The 19,318-nt window shown below is 38.6% G+C and overlaps 1 long non-coding RNA gene across 1 annotated transcript in view; it reads right to left on the bottom strand.

The window, feature by feature from the left end:
- Positions 1-963: 963 nt before the first annotated feature.
- LOC105377841 (uncharacterized) overlaps positions 964-19,318 on the bottom strand; it is a 41,388-nt gene continuing 23,033 nt past the window's right edge. The window contains exon 5 of the long non-coding RNA XR_942657.1: positions 964-1,021. This is a non-coding gene — a long non-coding RNA (uncharacterized LOC105377841). The remainder of the gene's footprint in view (positions 1,022-19,318) is intronic.

The raw sequence follows: 19,318 nt of genomic DNA, 5'->3' as shown, positions 1-19,318 counted from the left end.
TTGTTTCCTGTATTCCTTGTTTTCTTGTATTTTCTATTACTTTTGGTTTGCATGATTTTAAAATTTTTGTTATTTTTTTCTCTTCTATTGGCATATAGTTATGTGACTTTATTATACTGTTTAAATGACTGCTTTTTGAATTAAAATTAAGAAGCAGAAAGAAAAGGCAGCAATAAAAGGAAAGTAGAATAAAAGTTTACCTAAATCAACTTTATTTCACATTTTATATAAAAGTTTTATTTTCAGCGGAAATATTTATACTCAAATCATATCCAGTCAAAGCCTGTATTTTTCTTCAGTTACAATTGTAATTAAAATGTTTATTCAGTATTGTTTAAGGATAAAGCATAATTGGGATAAGCCAGGTCTCTAAATCACAGAATTTACACTAAATAATTATTTAATCTTGGGCAAATTTTTTAACTTCACTTGGTATCAGTATCCTTATCTGTAAAATGAGGATAATGGTATTTGGTACATACCTCACTTATTTTAAGTTCTCTTTTCCTGATTATTTTGAATGACTAAGTTTTTAAAATCAGTAATTCAACTAATTCAGTATTTTTTTATCCTTTGTATGGACATACTACTATATTTCTTTGCCTCCCACCATCAGTTGGTTTTCTAGGAATCACTATATAAATGAACTTTTCCCAATCTAATTTGAATTAATATTATATCACTTTACCTATCATATGCATATCATTTCACTTATGAGAAACAGTAAGTACCTCTGTTGATACCCATCAATCTCTATTCTATCACTGTCTTGTACATCGATGTTAATTATAAATCTCAAAGCATATTTTATTATATTTTCATTAAATAACTCAATTTCTTGATTTAAATAAATCAAAAAAGAGAAAAATAGTTTTTACATATACACACGTATTTATTATTTTTGCCTTTCTTCTTCCTGTAAATCTGAATTTTCACTTGGAATAATTCTCTTCCAGTGGGAAGGGCTTTTCTAGTATGGCTTATCATGCAGGTCTGCTGACAACTGATTGTTTTTCTGAATCTGTAAATAATTTGAAACATATAAGTTAACAAGATATATTCACAACGATGCCAGGATGCTTACATTTAGTATGAAATAAATAGTATAATTTTTAAACCTTCACAAATAGACTATAGGAAATTATCAGGAATAGACAACGTAGGATATTACTAACTAATTTAGAAGGAGTTTATGCCAAGTTGATATCCTGAACACATAAATATTTATGAAATCAGTCATTTATTTGGGGCTACAGGATTTAGCTTTCTCTTGATCATGCCTAGTTATCTGTTATGTGTGTGACAATATGAAAATGTGCACAAGCTGCTTCTATTGATTTATTGTCCAATAAATAATTACTGTTCATCACTTATTGATTATATTCTTTCATAATCATTTCACTTATCTCCTATTTGTGGTATCAATGTCACTTTTAGAGCCCGAACAATTCACACATAAAAGCTAAAAGTCAGTTTTACAGACAATATTCAGTGTCACACACTCTGTCCTGGCTTGTCTATTTGCATATGACAAAAGAATGTATTACCAGCATTAACTCTTCTGAGTATATTGAGCAAATCTCACTAAAGAGGCAGTTGAGGCTATTTTAATTGGTCATGTGAGGTTTCAAATGGTCTCATGTCAGAAATACTTCATGACAAGAGCCAAGACATGGCACCTGGAGACAGAACACTCAGGATCCAGATTTCCAGGTGGAAAGGAGTCTAAGGAAGCACTTTCGGCAGCTATTCATATTTTTTTTATTCCTCTTGGTGTCCCTAGTTCTACTAGTGAAAATTACTGCTGGCACTTGTTTTAGCCAAAAAGAAAACAGGACAATGAAAAATACAGAAAAATAAAATAATAGATGTTTACTCAAATATTATTTCCTCAAGGAAAGAAGCTTCATCTTTCTCTCATGTTATCACAGCTATTAAAGTAGAAGGAATTATTGACAATATTCGATATGTCAGTTTCCCCAAATGTGTTTCTCAGAATGAAGAAGTTTAAAAAATATATCAATTTAGGTGTGGATAATGGCCTTTACGTGAAGCATGAAATAATTCTGTGTGTTCTGTCTACAGGGATTGCCAGAAATCACAGGAAGAGAAATAATCCTCCCAACAAGGGTTTCAGATGTATTAGTCTTCATTTTCTTTCAGAGTAACTAGCAAACATGAAAATAACTGGGAAATTTTAAAATGTCCCATGGGTGAAGTCAGAAGTAAAGATTTACTTTACCGGGATTTCTGTGAACACTGAGAGCAACTGATTCTCTTCTGTTCTTAAAATGACAGAGAGATTAAAAAGTGCGTGCCACAGTACAAAGGCTAAATTGGTTTTATTTTTATTAGCATTTAAACAGTTTTAAGAGATATTATAATATAAATCTGAATAATTATACACAATTATTTACAGCATAAATATAAATAATTATAAACTAGAGTCTATTTTTAACTATTAATAGATGCATAAAAGTATATAACATTTGACATAATATCATCATGTTTGTTTGCTTTCAAATAACATAAAATTACGATAAAAGTTACAGACAAAATTAAAAAGCAGTAAACTAAAAAGTTTTATTGCACACTTGTTTTTTTCCTATTGTGACTGTAAAGATTTTTCTTAATACTAACTGACCAAACAACAGGTCCTACAATTAAATCAAATTTGACCTCAATGTCACAAAAACACTCCTATTACTATACTATTTTATATTAAGTGGGTCCCTTTAGGAACTAAGATGTCTCCTACCACCTGAGTTCACCATAAAAAATAACTTATTCATTCTGTATGAAGTATATTTTGCCAAAATTATTAATATATAAACATATTAATAGATAGATGGATAGATATAATTGATTTGCCAAAATTCTCTCTTTAACCTGCTTGTGTCCTTGGAGCATCTTAGCTCTGTAGTTTGCTATCTGTCATTAATTTTGAAAAAATTTTACCTAATATTCCTTAAAATATTGCTTCTTTTTTAATCTTTCTTCTTTTTTTAGTATTTCAGTTATGGGTCTATAAAACCTTTAAAGTTATCTCATAGTTTATGGACATCCATCCATTCTGCTTTATTCTTTTCTCTCCTGTCAGATACAAGAAAAAGTTCTTCTTCAAGGTTTAGCTTGTTTAGTTTCCTTGTTCTTTGTTCTCTACTTTCAAGGCAAAATGTTCTTGCTCTTTGTGCCTCCCTGCCTTGGTTTCAGTAAAAAACCCTTCCATCGGTCCATATCTATGGAGTCCACATCTGCTACCCACTCTATAAATTACCCCACCTGTCACAATGTCCCTTCCCCCATGAAACTGTCCTTCTTGCCAATCTAACCACATTCCTGTGCTTTTCAAGTTAGCCAGCCGAGTTTAGCTTAAATTGTGCAGTTCAACTCCAGCCAATGGATGCAGGACACAGTAGCAGGGACAAGCTGCATTAGAAATAAAAACCCCTTCCCTCCTTTGTTTGGTGTGCTCTCGGAGTGACCAGATCTGTGAGAAGCACCCTTCTGCAGAAGTAAATTTGCCTTGCTGAGAAATCCTTCGTTTAAGTGCTTGTTTCCTTTGCGACTCCAAGCTTTATTTCCAACAACTTTGGGGATCCGCCTGGCAACCCATTCTCCTCTGAGGTGGGGTCTCTGATCATCTCTCATGAGGAGACACATCCCACTGCCTCGCTGTGATGGCCACAGGGGTAAGAGATCAAGACCCACCTGGCATGACGAATAAACCCAGACACTCAGCAACACAGGAAGAGAAGGCCCACAAATATAATGTGGCAACCAGGTAACTCTGTGCACAGACCAAGGTAAGAAAAGCCATGGGGACAGTGAGGTATTTCTTGATGAGGACCAAGGTAAGAAAAGCTACGGAGGTCATGAAGTATTTCTTGGTCAGGACATTCCAAGGCAACAAAAGCCTTGGGGGCAGTAAAGTGTTCCTTGGTTGGGACATCAAGATACCTCCAGTTGGGTGGGTTAAGCCTCTAAGACAAGGGAAGTAAAAAAATTCCTAATATGAGGGATTAAGCCTCAGCCAGTCTTTAGAGAAGAGAGGGCAAGAAATCCCTAATACGAAGGATTGAGCCTCAGCAGCCTTCAAAATAGAAAATACCCCAGGTAAATACCCCAGGAGATAAAAAGGGTCAAGAGGATAATAAAATTCCCCCTGACAGTCCCCTAGACCTCATGCTAAAATAAAGGAGGGATAATGAAAGGACTAAACATAAGAAAAAAAAACAGCAAATGATAAATGATAAAATATTGTTGTTTCATTTGGACCAAATGACCCATCCTCAAACCCTCAGTTTTCTGGCCAATGTTTTGGTCAAATGAAGATTGGATTTGCCAACTTTTTTTTATTTTTATTATACTTTAAGTTCTAGGGTGCATGTGCACAACGTGCAGGTTTGTTACATATGTATACATGTGCTGCGTTGGTTTGCTGCACCCATTAACTCATCATTTACATTAGGTTTTACCCCTAATGCTATACCTCCCCCAACCACCCACCCAATGACAGGCCCCCATGTGTGATGTTCCCCACCCTGTGTCCAAGTGTTCTCATTGTTCAGTTCCCACCTATAAGTGAGAACATGTGGTGTTTGGTTTTTGGTTTTTGTGATAGTTTGCTCAGAATGATGGTTTCCAACTTCATACATATAGCTATAAAGGACATGAACTCGTCCTTTTTTGTGGTTGCATAGTGTTCCTTGGTGTATATGTGGCACATTTTCTTAATCCAGGCTATCATTGATGGACATGGTTGGTTCCAAGTCTCTGCTATTGTGAATAGTGCTGCAATAAACATACGTGTGCATGTGTCTTTATAGTAGCATGATTTATAATCCTTCGGGTATATACCCAGTAATGGGAATGCTGGGTCAAATGGTATTTCTAGTTCTACATCCTTGAGGAATTTCCACACTGTCTTCCACAATGGTTGAACTAGTTTACACTCTCACCAACAGTGTAAAACCGTTCCTATTTCTCCACATCCTCTCCAGCATCTGCAGTTTCCTGACTTTTTAACGATCGCCATTCTAACTGGTGTGAGATGGTATCTCATTGTGGTTTTGATTTACATTTCTCTGATGATCAGTGATGATGAGCATTCTTTCCTGTGTCTGTTGACTGCATAAATATCTTCTTTTGAGAAGTGTCTGTTCATATCTTTTGCCCACTTTTTGATGGGGTTGTTTTTTTCTTGTAAATTTGTTTAAGTTCTTTATAGATTCTAGACATTAGACCTTTGTCAAATGGGTAGATTGCAAAAATTTTCTCCCATTCTGTAGGTTGCCTGTTCACTCTGATGGTAGTTTCTTTTGCTGTGCAGAAGCTCTTTAGTTTAATTAGATCCCATTTGTCTATTTTGGCTTTTGTTGCCCTTGCTTTTGGTGTTTTAGTCATGAAGTCCTTGTCCATGTCTATGTCCTGAATGGTATTGCCCAGGTTTTCTTCTAGGATTTTTATGGTTTTATGTCTAACATTTAAGTCTTCAATCCATCTTGAATTAATTTTTGTATAAGGTGTAAGGAAGGGATCCAGTTTCAGCTTTCTACATATGACTAGCCAGTTTTCCCAGCACCATTTATTAAATAGGGAATCGTTTCCCCATTTCTTGTTTTTGTCAGATTTGTCAAAGATCAGATGGTTGTAGATGTGTGGTGTTGTTTCTCAGGGCTATGTTCTGTTCCATTGGTCTACATCTCTGTTTTGGTACCAGTACCATGCTGTTTTGGTTATTGCAGCCTTGTAGTATAGTTTGAAGTCAGGTAGTGTGATGCCTCCAGCTTTGTTCTTTTGGCTTAGGATTGTCTTGGCAATGCTGACACTTTATTCTTCCCATATGAACTTTAAAGTAGTTTTTTCCAATTCTGTGAAGAAAGTCATTGGTAGCTTGATGGGGATGGCATTGAATCTATAAATTACCTTGGGCAGTATGGCCATTTTCACGATATTGATTCTTCCTATCCATGAGCATGGAATGTTCTTCCATTTGTTTGTGTCCCCTTTTATTTCGTTGAGCAGTGGTTTGTAGCTCTCCTTGAAGAAGTCCTTCACATCGCTTGTAAGTTGCATTCCTAGGTATTTTATTCTCTTTGAAGCAATTGTGAATGGGAGTTCACTCATGATTTGGCTCTCTGTTTGTCTGTTATTGGTGTATAAGAATGCTTGTGGTTTTTGCACATTGATTTTGTATCCTGAGACTTTGCTGAAGCTGCTTATCAGCTTAAGGAAATTTTGGGTTGAGATGATGGTGTTTTCTAAATATACAATCATGTCTTTTGCAAACAGGGGCAACTTGACTTCCTCTTTTCCTAATTGAATACCCTTTATTTCTTTCTCTTGCCTGATTGCCCTGGTCAGAACTTCCAATACTATGTTGAATAGGAGTGGTGAGAGAGGGTATCCCTGTCTTGTGCCAGTTTTCAAAGGGAATCCTTCCAGCTTTTGCTCATTCAGTATGACACTGGCTGTGGGTTTGTCATAAATAGCTTTTATTATTTTGAGATACGTTCCACCAATACCTAGTTTATTGAGAGTTTTTAGCATGAGGGGCTCTTGAATCATTTTGAAGGTTTTTTCTGCATCTACTGAGATAATCATGTGGTTTTTGTCTTTGGTTCTGTTTATGTGATGGATTATGTTTATTGATTTGCACACATTGCATCCCAGGGATAAAGCCAACTTGATCTTGGTGGATAAGCTTTTTGATGTGCTGCTGGATACAGTTTGCCAGTATTTTATTGAGGATTTTTACATCAATGTTCATCAGAGGTATTGGTCTAAAATTCTTTTTTTGTTGCCTCTGCCAGGCTTTGGTATTAGGATGATGCTGGCCTCATAAAATGAGTTAAGGAGGATTCCCTCTTTTTCTTTTTATTTATTTATTTATTTATTTTTATTGATCATTTTTGGGTGTTTCTCACAGAGGGGGATTTGGCAGGGTCATAGGACAATAGTGGAGGGAGGGTCAGCAGATAAACAAGTGAACAAAGGTCTCTGGTTTTCCTATGCAGAGGACCCTGAGGCCTTCCGCAGTGTTTGTGTCCCTGGGTACTTGAGATTAGGGAGTGGTGATGACTCTTCAGGAGCATGCTGCCTTCAAGCATCTGTTTAACAAAGCACATCTTGCACCACCCTTAATCCATTTAACCCTGAGTGGACACAGCACATGTTTCAGAGATCACAGGGTTGGGGTTGGGATTCCCTCTTTTTCTATTGATTGGAATAGTTTCAGAAGCAATGGCACCAGCTTTTCTTTGTACCTCTGGTAGAATTCGGCTGTGAATCCATCTGGCCCTGGAGTTTTTTTGCTTGGTAGTCTATTAATTATTGCCCCAATTTCAGAGCCTGTTATTGGTCTTCAAATTCAACTTCTTCCTGGTTTAGTCGTCAGCGGGTGTATGTGCACAGGAATTTATCCATTTCTTCTAGATTTTCTAGTTTATTTGAGTAGAGGAGTTTACAGTATTCTCTGGTGGTAGTTTGTATTTCTGTGGGATCGGAGATAATATCCCCTTTATCATTTTTTATTTTGTCTATTTGATTCTTCTCTTTTTCTGCTTTATTAGTCTTGCTAGCAGTCTATCAATTTTGTTGATCTTTTCAAAAAATCAGCTCCTGGATTCATTGATTTTTGGAAGGGTTTTTTGTGTCTCTATCTCCTTCAGTTCTGCTCTAATCTTAGTTATTTCTTGCCTTGTGCTAGCTTTTGAATTTGTTTGCTCTTGCTTCTCTAGTTCGTTTAATTGTGATGTTAGGGTGTCAATTTTAGATCTTTCCTGCTTTCTTTTGTGGGCATTTAGTGCTATAAATTTCCCTCTACACACTGCTTTAAATGTGTCCCAGAGATTCTGGTACGTTGTTTCTTTGTTCTCATTGGTTTCAAATAACATCTTTATTTCTGCCTTCATTTTGTTATTTACCCAGTAGTCATTCAGGAGTAGGATGTTCAGTTTCCATGTAGTTGTGCGGTTTTGAGTGAGTTTCTTAATCCTAGTTCTAATCTGATTGCACTGTGGTCTGAGAGACAGCTTGTTGTGATTTCTGTTCTACATTTGATGAGGAGTGCTTTACTTCCAACTACGTGGTCAATTTTGGAATAAGTGCAATGTGGTGCTGAGAAGATTGTATATTTTGTTGATTTGGGGTGGAGAGTTCTGTAGATGTCTATTAGGTCTGGTTGGTGCAGAGCTCAGTTCAAGTCCTGGATATCCTTGTTAATCTTATGTCTCGTTGATCTGTCTAATAGTGACATGGGGTGTTAAAGTCTCCCACTATTATTGTGTGGGAGTCTAAGTCTCTTTATATGTCTCTAAGGATTTGCTTTATGAATTTGTATGCTCCTGTATTTGGTGCATATATATTTAGGATAGTTAGCTCTTCTTGTTGAATTGATCCCTTTACCATTATGTAATGGCCTTCTTTGACTCTTGATGTTTTTTGGTTTAAAGTCTGTTTTACCTCTGCTTTTTTTTCCCTTTCCATTTGCTTGGTAGATCTTACTCTATCCCTTTGTTTTGAGCCTATGTGTGTCTCTGCACGTGAGGTGGGTCTCCTGAATACTGATGGGTCTTGACTCTTTATCAGATTTGCCAGTCTGTGGCTTTTAATTGCGGCATTTAGCCCAGTTACATTTAAGGTTAATATTGTTATGTGTGAATTTGATCCTGTCATTATGATGTTAGCTGGTTATTTTGCACATTAGTTGATGTAGTTTCTTCCTAGCATCGATGGTCTTTACAATTTGGTATGTTTTTGCAGTGGCTGGTACTGGTTGTTCCTTTCGATGTTTAGCACTTCCTTCAGGAGCTCTTATAAGGCAGGCCTGGTGGTGACAAAATCTCTCAGCATTTGCTTGTCTGTAAAGGATTTTATTTCTCCTTCACTTATGAAGCTTAGTTTGGCTGGATATGAAATTCTGGGTTGAAAATTCTTTTCTTTAAGAATGTTGAATATTGGCTCCCACTCTTTTCTGGCTTGTAGAGTTTTTGCTGAGTGATCAGCTGTTAGTCTGATGAGCTGCCCTTTGTGGGTAACCCAACCTTTCTCTCTGGCTGCCCTTAGCATTTTTTCCTTCATTTCAACTTTGCTGAATCTGATAATTATGTGTCTTGGGGCTGCTCTTCTCGAAGAGTATGTTTGTGGTGCTCTCTCTATTTCCTGAATTTGAATGTTGGCATGCCTTGCTAGGTTGGGTAAGTTCTCCTGGACAATATCCTTAAGAGTGTTTTCCAGCTTGGTTCCATTCTCCCCATCACTTTCAGGTACACCAATCCAACGTAGATTTGGTCTTTTCACATAGTCCCATATTTGTTGGAGGCTTTGTTCATTTCTTTTTACTCTTTTTTCTCTAAACTTCTCTTCTCACTTCATTTCATTAATTTGATCTTCAATCACTGATACCCTTTCTTCCACTTGATTGAATCAGCTACTGAAGCTTGTGCATGCATCATGTAGTTCTCGTGCCATGGTTTTCAGCTCCATCAGGTCATTTAAGGTCTTCTCTACACTGTTTATTCTAGTTAGCCATTTGTCTAATCTTTTTTCAAGGTTTTTAGCTTCCTTGCGATGGGTTTGAACATCCTCCTTTAGCTCTGAGAAGTTTGTTGTTACTGACTTTCTGAAGGCTTCTTCTCTCAACACCTCAAAGTTATTCTCCTTCCTGCTTTGTTCCATTTCTGGCAAGGAGCTGCAATCCTTTGGAGGAGAATGGGTGCTCTGGTGTTTAGAATTTTCAGCTTTTCTGCTCTGCTTTCTCCCCATCTTTATTGTTTTATCTACCTTTGGTCTTTGATGATGGTGACCTACAGATGGTGTTTTGGTGTGGATGTCCTTTTTATCGATGTTGATGCTATTCCTTTCTGTTTGTTAGTTTTCCTTCTAACAGTCAGGTCCCTCAGCTGCAGGTCTGTTGGAGTTTGCTGGAGGTCCACTCCAGACCCTATTTGCCTGGGTATCACCAGCACAGGCTGCAGAGCAGCAAATATTGCAGAACAGCAAATATTGCTGCCTGATCCTTCCTCTGAAACTTCATCTCAGAGGGACATTCAGCTGTATGAGGTGTCAGTCGGCCCCTACTGGGACATGTCTCCCAGTTAGGCTACACGGGGGGTCAGGGACCGACTTGAGGGGGCAGTCTGTCCATTCTCGGAGCTCAAACACCATGCTGGGAGAACCACTGCTCTCTTCAGAGCTGTCTGACAGGGATGTTTAAGTCTGCAGAAGTTTCTGCTGCCTTTTGTTCAGCTATGCCCTGCCCTCAGACATGCAGTCTACAGAGGCAGGCGGGCCTCACTGAGCTGTGGTGGGCTCCACCCAGTTCGAGCTTCCCGGCCACTTTGTTTACCTACTCAAGCCTCAGCAATGGTGGACGCCCCTCCCCAAGCCACGCCTGCAGCCTCCCAGTTCGATCTTGGACTAGCAGTGAGCAAGGCACCGTGGGCGTGGGACCTTCTGAGCCAGGCGCAGGATGTAATCTCCTGGTGTGCCATATGTTAAGACCTTTGGAAAAGCAAGGTGTTTAGGTAGCAGTGTCCCGATTTTCCTGGTATAGTCTTCAAGGCTTCCCTTAGCTAGGAAAGGGAAGTCCCCCGACCCCTTGCGCTTTCCAGGTATGGCGATGCCCCGCCCTGCTTCAGCTCACCCTCCATGGGCTGCACCCACTTTCTGACCAGTCCCAATGAGATGAACCAGGTACCTCAGTTGGAAATGCAGAAACCACCTGTCTTCTGTGTTGATCACACTGGGAGCTGCAGACCGGAGCTGTTCCTGTTTGGCCATCTTGGAACGGAAGCCCTCGGATTTTTCAACTTTTAATAGAGTATGTCAATGACAAAAGTCCCATCTCCCAGGAGGAAACAGATGATGTCCTGTGTTGGTGGCAAGGACCTGTCCTCCTTTATCCCCTAAAGGCTATAGGGGGCAAGCCAGAAACCAACTCCTCTGAAAGGAGTGAGATTTCTACCCCCAAACAGCCCACTAACATCTAGAACCCAGTAGACCACCTGCCTCCGCCAAATCCCCTGCCCCAAGCAGACACACTGGAATCCCCTCACTCAGTTCCTCTAACATATAACCCTGAATCAATGCCCCATGCTTCCCCTAGCCACAGGCTTGAGCATGTGCCTCCCCCAGGAAAGCTCCAGTGTGAGATAGAACAATGTAAAAAGGATATCCAAAACTTCCCTTTCCCCTTCACCTCTAAGGAATCAGCCCCAACCCTCTCCCCCTTAAGGGAAGTGCCCCTTAGAGGAGGAGGTATTGGCTGTGTAAAATACACCCTTAACCAGCTCAGGAGTCCAAAATTTAAAGAAACAACTCAAGCCATTGTTAGGTAACCATTATGGGGTAGCAGATCAAATTAATCCATTTTGGGGGCCACAACTGTATATTTGGGCCGAGTTAATATCCATCCTGGGCATCCTCTTTTCAGAGGAAGAAAGAAGCATGATTCGCGGGGCCAATATTGTAGTCTGGAAATGTGAACATCCTCCTGGTCAAAATGTTCCTGCAACAGATAAAAAATTCCCAGCCCAAGACCCCCAGTGGGACAATAAAGCAGCTCAACAGAAAAATATGAAAGACCTTAGGGAAATGATAATTAACAAGATTCAGAAGTCAGTTCCCCTGACCCAAAACCTGCCTGGAGTATTCGATATACAACAAAGGAAAGATGAAGGACCCATAGAATTCTAAGATAGACTTAAAAAAAAATGAGAAAATATGTGGGCCTAGATATAGAAGATCGTCCAGGGCAAGGAATGTTAAAGCTTCATTTTGTTACTGATAGTTGACCAGACATCTCAAAAAATTGCAAAAGAGAGAAAATTGAAAAAAATAAATCCATAGAACTTCTAAGGGAAGCTCAAAAAGTATATATAAGAAGGGATGAGAAAAAACAAAAAAAAAGCAAAAATTATGCTCTCTACTTTCCAAGAGGGGGTCACAGAAAATAGAGACCACTGATACTACTCTCCATCACCCAAAGGCCCACATGCATCTAAACAAAGTATCCCAGGGCCCAGGACTGATAAAAAATTTAAGCCCCCACTTGCCGGGCCATACAAAGAGCATAAGAAGGCAGCGCCAGGGAACCCAAAAATAGGAAGAGTGGAAGGACAAAATAAATGTTTCAAATGTGGAGGAGTAGGTCATTTTAAGAGTGAATATTCTGAATGAGAGAAAAAGAAAGAAATCATTCCACTTATGACCTCTGAAGAAGAATAGGGAGGTCTTGTCTCAACTACATCAAGAAACCAATTGGGGACCCCAAGCTATGTGTGACGCAGTTTCCAGAGCTTATAGGTGTATAGGAATCTATACCCTAGCCAAACAGGTTACAAACAGTTGCTTGATATGTAAGAATACTAATAAGCAAAGTTTAAAAAAATCACCCCTCTGGGGAAGGGATCCAGGCCTAAGGCCATTCCAAAGTGTTCAAATTGACTACACTAAAATGCCCCCAATTGGTCACCTGAAGTACTTATTGGTAATAGTAGACCACTTTACTCACTGGGTAAAAGCTATCCCCTTCTCAAGTGCAACCGCCAGTATTGGAGCTAAGGCATTAATTAAAAAATCATACCCAGGTTTTGAGTAACAGAAAACAGTAATTCAGAGAATGGAACTCATTTCACAGCACATGTGATTAAAAAGTTAGCTCGGGTGCTTGACATAAAATGGGAATACCATATCCCTTGGCATCCCTCTTCCTCAGGAAAAGTAGAAAAAAATGAACGACGCTCTAAAAAGCCACCTAACAAAATTAGTCCTAGAGACCCATTTGCCCTGGATTAAATGTCATCGTATTGCCTTGTTAAAAATCAAAACCACCCCTAGAAAAGATATCATCTTGTTCCCTTATGAAGTGATATATGGGCTGCCTTATTTACATCTACCACTGATGCTCCTACATTTGAAACAAAAGATCAGTCCCTCAAAAATTATATACTCGATCTATCTTCCACTTTCTCTTAAGTCCAAAAGTCTCCTAGCACAGGTGCCACCCCTGGAGATCACGTCCTTATCAAAGGGTAAAAAGAAGAAAAACTCGAACTAGCTTGGGAAGGACCTTACCTAGTGCTCCTGACCACTGAAAGCACAGTCTGAACAGTAGAGAAAGGATGGACTCATCATATCTGAGTCAAGAAAGCGTCACCACCTACAGAATAACGGGCCATCATTCCAGGGGAAAGCTCTACCAAACTAAAGCTAAGAAAAACCTAACCCTCTTATATCTACTATATTATTCTGTCACCTTTTCTCACTTTACAGCTAGTCACCTGATTATTAATGTAACTAGATCAAGCCTACTTCAAGTTATCACTTTTGATGCTTGTCTCATTCTGCCCTGTGGGGATCTCCAAAACCAAAGAAAGCTATCCTCTATTGACAAGTATCTCTGCCCCTCTAGAATAAATAAAACTGCCTATAATAGTGACACTTGTACCAGAATTGCATGAAGCGCTGAGTGAAGGTTCTGTTATGGTTGGGGAGATGTAATCTGGACCACCAAATATCAGGGCTGGACCTCTCCAAGAAGAGGCTGCATTCATCGAAAACCCTAAATCCACTTTACCAAAAGAGTAACTCCCTCTAATTGTCAGCTTCATCAGTGTAATCCTCTGCAAATCTCCAACACTGTCCCCACCTCCACCAACACTAACCCCACTCTAAGTCACTTCTATGGCCTAAGAGCTAATTTTCAATCCGGGACAGACCCAATAGGATCTTTTAAAATAAGCTTCATTGATCCTCCACCCCCTTTCCTTTCTCCTTCCCCAGAACCTTCTCTTGATCAAACGGCTATTATTTCCAATAACAAAACCTTAGTCAACATTGTAGAAATTAGAGATTTAGAACAAACTTTATCAATGGAAACATGATATGAAGATACAAATGCCTGGTTGGAATGGATTAAATATTCTATTCACAAATTAAATAAAAGTGACTGTTATGCTTGTACAGCAGGCAGGCCAGAAGCTCAAATAGTCCCTTTCCCACTTGGACGGTCCTCTGACCAATTGGGCATGAGCTGCATGGTAAGTCTCTTTCAAAACCTCATATCCTGGGGTAGTAAGGTGTGCAAGACTCTCACTACTATTTCCTGAAGTCAAAGGCTCTGCCGGCCAGCCCCTGATAGCCATCAAGCCCACAGCCTCGGATGTTAATTTTACCTCATGTCTCTCATGACAGGGGGGAGAAATTGTCATCTCTCAGAGACCTAAAAGAGTGAAATGAAACTAAGACTTTGCAGTCTAGCTGCCCTTGTTCACTCCCGAGCAGATGTATGGTGGTATGGTGGAGTTCTATGCTAAATAATTGGAGCAGCACTTACGCTCTAGTCCAATTGACCATCTCTTTCACCCTGGCATTCCTATTCTCACAGTAAGCAAGAAAATCACCACTGAGTTAGAAGAAGCACCCCACCCAGATCACTTAACACTCACATTTACATAGATGCTATTGGAGTCCCATGAGAGGTCCAAATGAATTTAAAGCTCAAAATCCAATAGCTACAGGGTTTGAGTCCATGTTGTTCAGGTGATCAACAATAAATAAAAATGTAGATTGGACAAATTACATATATTACAATCAACAACAATTTGTTAATTATACCAAGGATGCTATTAAAGGAATCACTGAACAATTAAAACCCATCAGTCAAATGGCTTAGGAAAATAAAATAGCATTAAACATGATACTAGCAAAAAAAAGGTGGAGTCTGTGTTATGATCAAAATCGAATGTTGTATATTTATCCCCAACAACACAGCTCCAATGGAACAATTACCAAAAACTTTACAAGGTCTCACCTCACTATCAAATAAACTGGCCAAAAATTCTAGGACAAATGACCCCTTCACAAGTTATATGGAAAGGTGGTTTGGTAAATGGAAAGGGCTCATGTCCTCAATCCTAACCTCTCTTGCAATTGTCATAGGTGTACTTATTCTCATAGGATGTGCTATCATAACCTGTGCCTGGAGATTAATACAAAAACTTATTAAAACAGCTCTCACCAAAAACTCCCTCAATTCCCCCTTCCCTATTCAAATGAACATTTTCTTTTAAAAGGCCAAGCAAAACAACAAAGTCAAGAAGTGTTAAAAAGGTTTGAAGAGGAAGACTTATAAAAATTAAAAAGGGGGGAGTTTTCAGATACAAGAAAAAGTTCCTCTTCAAAGGTTTAGCTTGTTTAGTTTCCTTGTTCTTTGTTCTCTACTTTCAAGGCCAAACTTCCTTGCTCTTTGTGCCTCCCTGTCTTGGTTTCAGTAAACAACTCTCCCATCAGTCCTTATCTACAGAGCCCACATCTGCTAACCACTCTATAAATTACCTCTCCCATCACAACAGCCCTTCCTGCCAAAACTGTCCTTCTCTCCAGTGTAACCACATTCCTGCACTTTTCAAGTTAGCCACCCAGGTTCAGCTTAAATTGTGTGGTCCAACTCCAGCCAAAGGAGACAGGACACGCTGGCAGGGACAAGCTGCTTTAGAAATAAAAACCCCTTCCCTCCTTTGTTCAGTGTGCTCTCAGGACAACCAGACTTGTGAGAAGCACCCTTCTGCAGAAGTAAATTTGCCTTGCTGAGAAATTATTTGTTTAAGTGTCCATTTTCTTTGCAACTCCAAGCTTTATTTCCAACATCTCTCTTTGCATTTCAATTTGGGAAGATTCTATTGACATATCTTCAAGCATAGTGTTTTTTCCTCATGTCATTCTACCAGAGAGCAAATCAAAGGTGTTTTCATTTCTGTTACTTTTAATTTATAGCATTTCCTTTTGATTCTTCTTTAAAATTTCTGTTTCTCTGCTAAAATCATGAATTTCTTCTTGTATTTTTTCTACTTTTCCCATTACTGTCATAATATTAAACATGGTTATTTGAAACTCCCTGTCTGATCATTCCAAAATCCATGTTATATCTAAATCTAATGATGATGCTTATTTTGTCCATTAAGGTTGTGTTTTGTTTCCCTTTTCTTTTTAGCAAATTTGTAATTTTGTTTTTGTTTAAAGGTATATATGGTGTATGGTCTGACAGTATTACATAAATATGGTTTATATCAGTTACTATTGTTTGGGACAGAAGGCAGGAAAATTCTAGACAGGAAAAAGTGGGGTACCTGGCAAAGCCCACGCTCAAGCCTAGAACTGTAGCACAAATTGAGGACATGTATTCCTGTTTTCCTGCTCCAATGGTTGCCTTTTCAAAAACCACCCATGTTCCTCCCTGCCCCCCATGCTGTATCCATAAAAAACCCAGGCTCCACTGTCAGAGAGTAGAGATGGGGAGAAGAGAAGAACCAGCTGAACATCAAAGAGAAACAGCCTGACTTCGGAGGGACAGCTTGATGGCAGGACTTTGGAGAAGAGTCGGCCAGAGACAGCTGAACTTCAGGGGAAGGATACCTTCCCACTCCATCTCCTTTCCAGCTGAGAGTCACTTTCATTGGCAATAAAGTCTTCATATTTACTATCGTTCAATTCATTCACATGACCTGAGTTTTCCTGAACCCCAAACAAAAGATTGGTTGCCATGGGTGCAGATGCTAAAGGCTGTCACACTGACCCTCTTTCCTCACCAATGAAGAGCAACCACCTCACATGAAAAGGCAGAGGACCCAGTGAGCTGTTTAACACTTAAGCCATCTGCGGACAGCAAAGCTAAAAGAATGCACTGTAGCATTTGCCTTCTAGGACTTTGAGGATCATGGGTACTCCCTGCCTAGATGCTACCATGGAGCCTGTATGGAATTTTGCTCCTGCTGATGCCCAGAAGCCCTTGCCCCAGCTCCTGCATCCACTCATCTGCTTGCTTCCCCTCCCGTGAAGGCTTGAGAGCTGCAGGCTGAGCAAGTGAGGCACCCTTGTGGCGAGGCCCACGAAGGGGTCAGGGAAAATTTCCTGTGTCACTGTTACATCATATGTAATAGTAACTGACATAAATAGGCCTTTGTTGTGATGTTTGTTGTTAGATTGGCTAGTTGTTGCTCTGCGTTCAATATTTGCTGTAGCTTTAGGTGCCAGAGGCTTCAAGTGCTTTTGTTGCTATCCCTCTTTTTAAATCTTCATATAATCATTGGGCTTCCTTAAGGCTCCCCCTCAAATAGAGGTGGCACCTTGCAGCTTTTTCAGCTGTAATCCACTGTTGTTATGACGTAATGATGATGGTGCAGTGGTAATGTGTGCAGAAAGATAAGTATTGTATAATCTTATAATTAAATTTCTGTTTTTTAGTGAGCCTGTATCCCTGGGCTGTGACCTTCACAAATGATTCCTCTTTTAAGTAAGAGAGGAAGGCTAGAAGGGTCTGGAATGAGGGAAATGCCTTTATTCCAGGTAAGATAAAGACTTTTATCCTGGAGCATAGGCTTCGTTACCGGAGAGTTATCTGGTAACGCATTTAACAAGGGTTACTCCTCCCTTCCCCTGAAAGAGCCATGAGGGGAACTCTCTTGGCTCTTCACCTTGAAAACCCTAGGGAAATTCCTGGAGAAAAAATTCGTGAATGTCTAAGGCCCCTTCAAACTGTGACCATAGCAGTTTCTTACTGTCAAGCAAGTCCATACTTAGTTTCCAAAAATGTATCAGTATTTCTATTTAAAAGTTCTACCAGTTTATAGTTAAGTAATTTCTGCTCCAGGGAAGCAAATCTCAGCTGTGACTATCTAGATTTGTCTCTCCCTCCAAATTTCCGGATGGCAGTTTGCTCTGCAAACTCAGCTCTCTGAGGAGTCCAGGAAAAGTGATCAATTTTCAGATCGCTTAGCTTTATAATGGGAGTGATGATTTCCAAACTCTTTGCATATCAGACCTAAAAGAAGAATCTATTCCATAAACATTACAAATTCTCCTGCAAAAATGTCAATATTTGAACTTATAGTAGCTAAATAGAAAGAGACAGACAAAAAGAAGGAACATAGGAAGTAAATACAATTTTTTTTAACTTATAGTTTAAACAGAACAAAATTTGATAGAGATATGTATGGATGATTAAATAATTATAGTACAAGAAGGTTATGAATGTATACTGAGTAATAAAATAGGCAGAGTTTTATTTAAAATATCATCTCAGTTTGCATATGACATAAACTTGTATATAGGAAATCATTAAAAATTCAAGAAACTTTGACATTGAGGCTGAGTTTTTTTAACAAATACTGGCAGAAGATATTAATGGCATAGAGAATCAAAACAGAATGTATACCGTTTATAAAACTGTTTTCTTTTAATCTGGAAAGAAACGTGTAGCATAACACCAATGCAAAATTTGAATAAGTCCTGGGCTTGAAGTCACTCAAGAGCTTGAATCCAAACCCACCACTTAAGTACTTGTATGACTTTTCACTTTTCTAAGTCACAGTTTTCTTATGTATAAAACAAGAATAACAGCTTGCATCTCATTCTGTGGCTGTAAGGAAATAAATTGGTTAAATCATTTCTTTAAATGCACCAGTAAATATTATCAGTGGTTCAATAAATGTTCAATACATTTTCTTCCTTTACTTTTCATTGTCTGATGGGAGTATTCACATCTCTTTTTCAAATATTGCTCTTCACATCCAATGCTACAGTGGTAGTCTTATCATCAAATGGAGTTCTGACCCTTGAATGAGCAGTGTGTTAAAATCTATTTGCCTGGAATTTTGAGAATGAATGTCATTTATATAAAAACTAATTGAAGATGGAGTTTGAAATAGAAAACATTCAATCAAAATTAAACCTTTTAGTGGAAAATATGTATAATAATTATAGGTGTTATTAAATTTGACTATGATATATTAACCTGGTTTTATATTACTTCCTTCAACAATTATCACCACTTTCAATGTCCTGGGCACTTGGTGAAAGGGATAAGATAGTGAAGAAAAAAATAAACTGGAGCCCTGAACTTTAGTTCTAATGAGGCTAATGGTAAATTTAAGTATCTAAAAAAATTCATAATGTTAAAAAATGTAGTTTTATTAAATCTCCTTTCTTAAACACTTTTTAAAACAGTCTGTACATGTCATTAAGATGGTAAATGTAAAGTATGTAAAATATTACATAGAACATAATAATTTGTCAACTACATTTTTTTCTTGACTAGAAAACTTCTGATTCATTTTGGCAACTAAAATGAGGTAATTGGCTTTAAAAAGCTTTGTGGGTTTATTTGTTTTGATTTTTCTTGCTATTTTGGTTTTAGGGTGTGTGTGTGTGTGTGTGTGTGTGTGTGTCTGTATGCACAGTATGGTGAACATTGTGGTGGGTTTTAAACTTATTTTTCAGTTCACCACCTAAGCTGAAGTTTTTAAAATCTTCTCTG

This window comes from Homo sapiens, chromosome 6, assembly GCF_000001405.40.
Source record: "Homo sapiens chromosome 6, GRCh38.p14 Primary Assembly".
NCBI classification, from domain to species: Eukaryota; Metazoa; Chordata; class Mammalia; order Primates; family Hominidae; genus Homo; species Homo sapiens.
The sequence above is the reverse complement of the archived record's forward strand: the minus strand, read 5'-3'. Positions and strand labels throughout refer to the sequence as shown.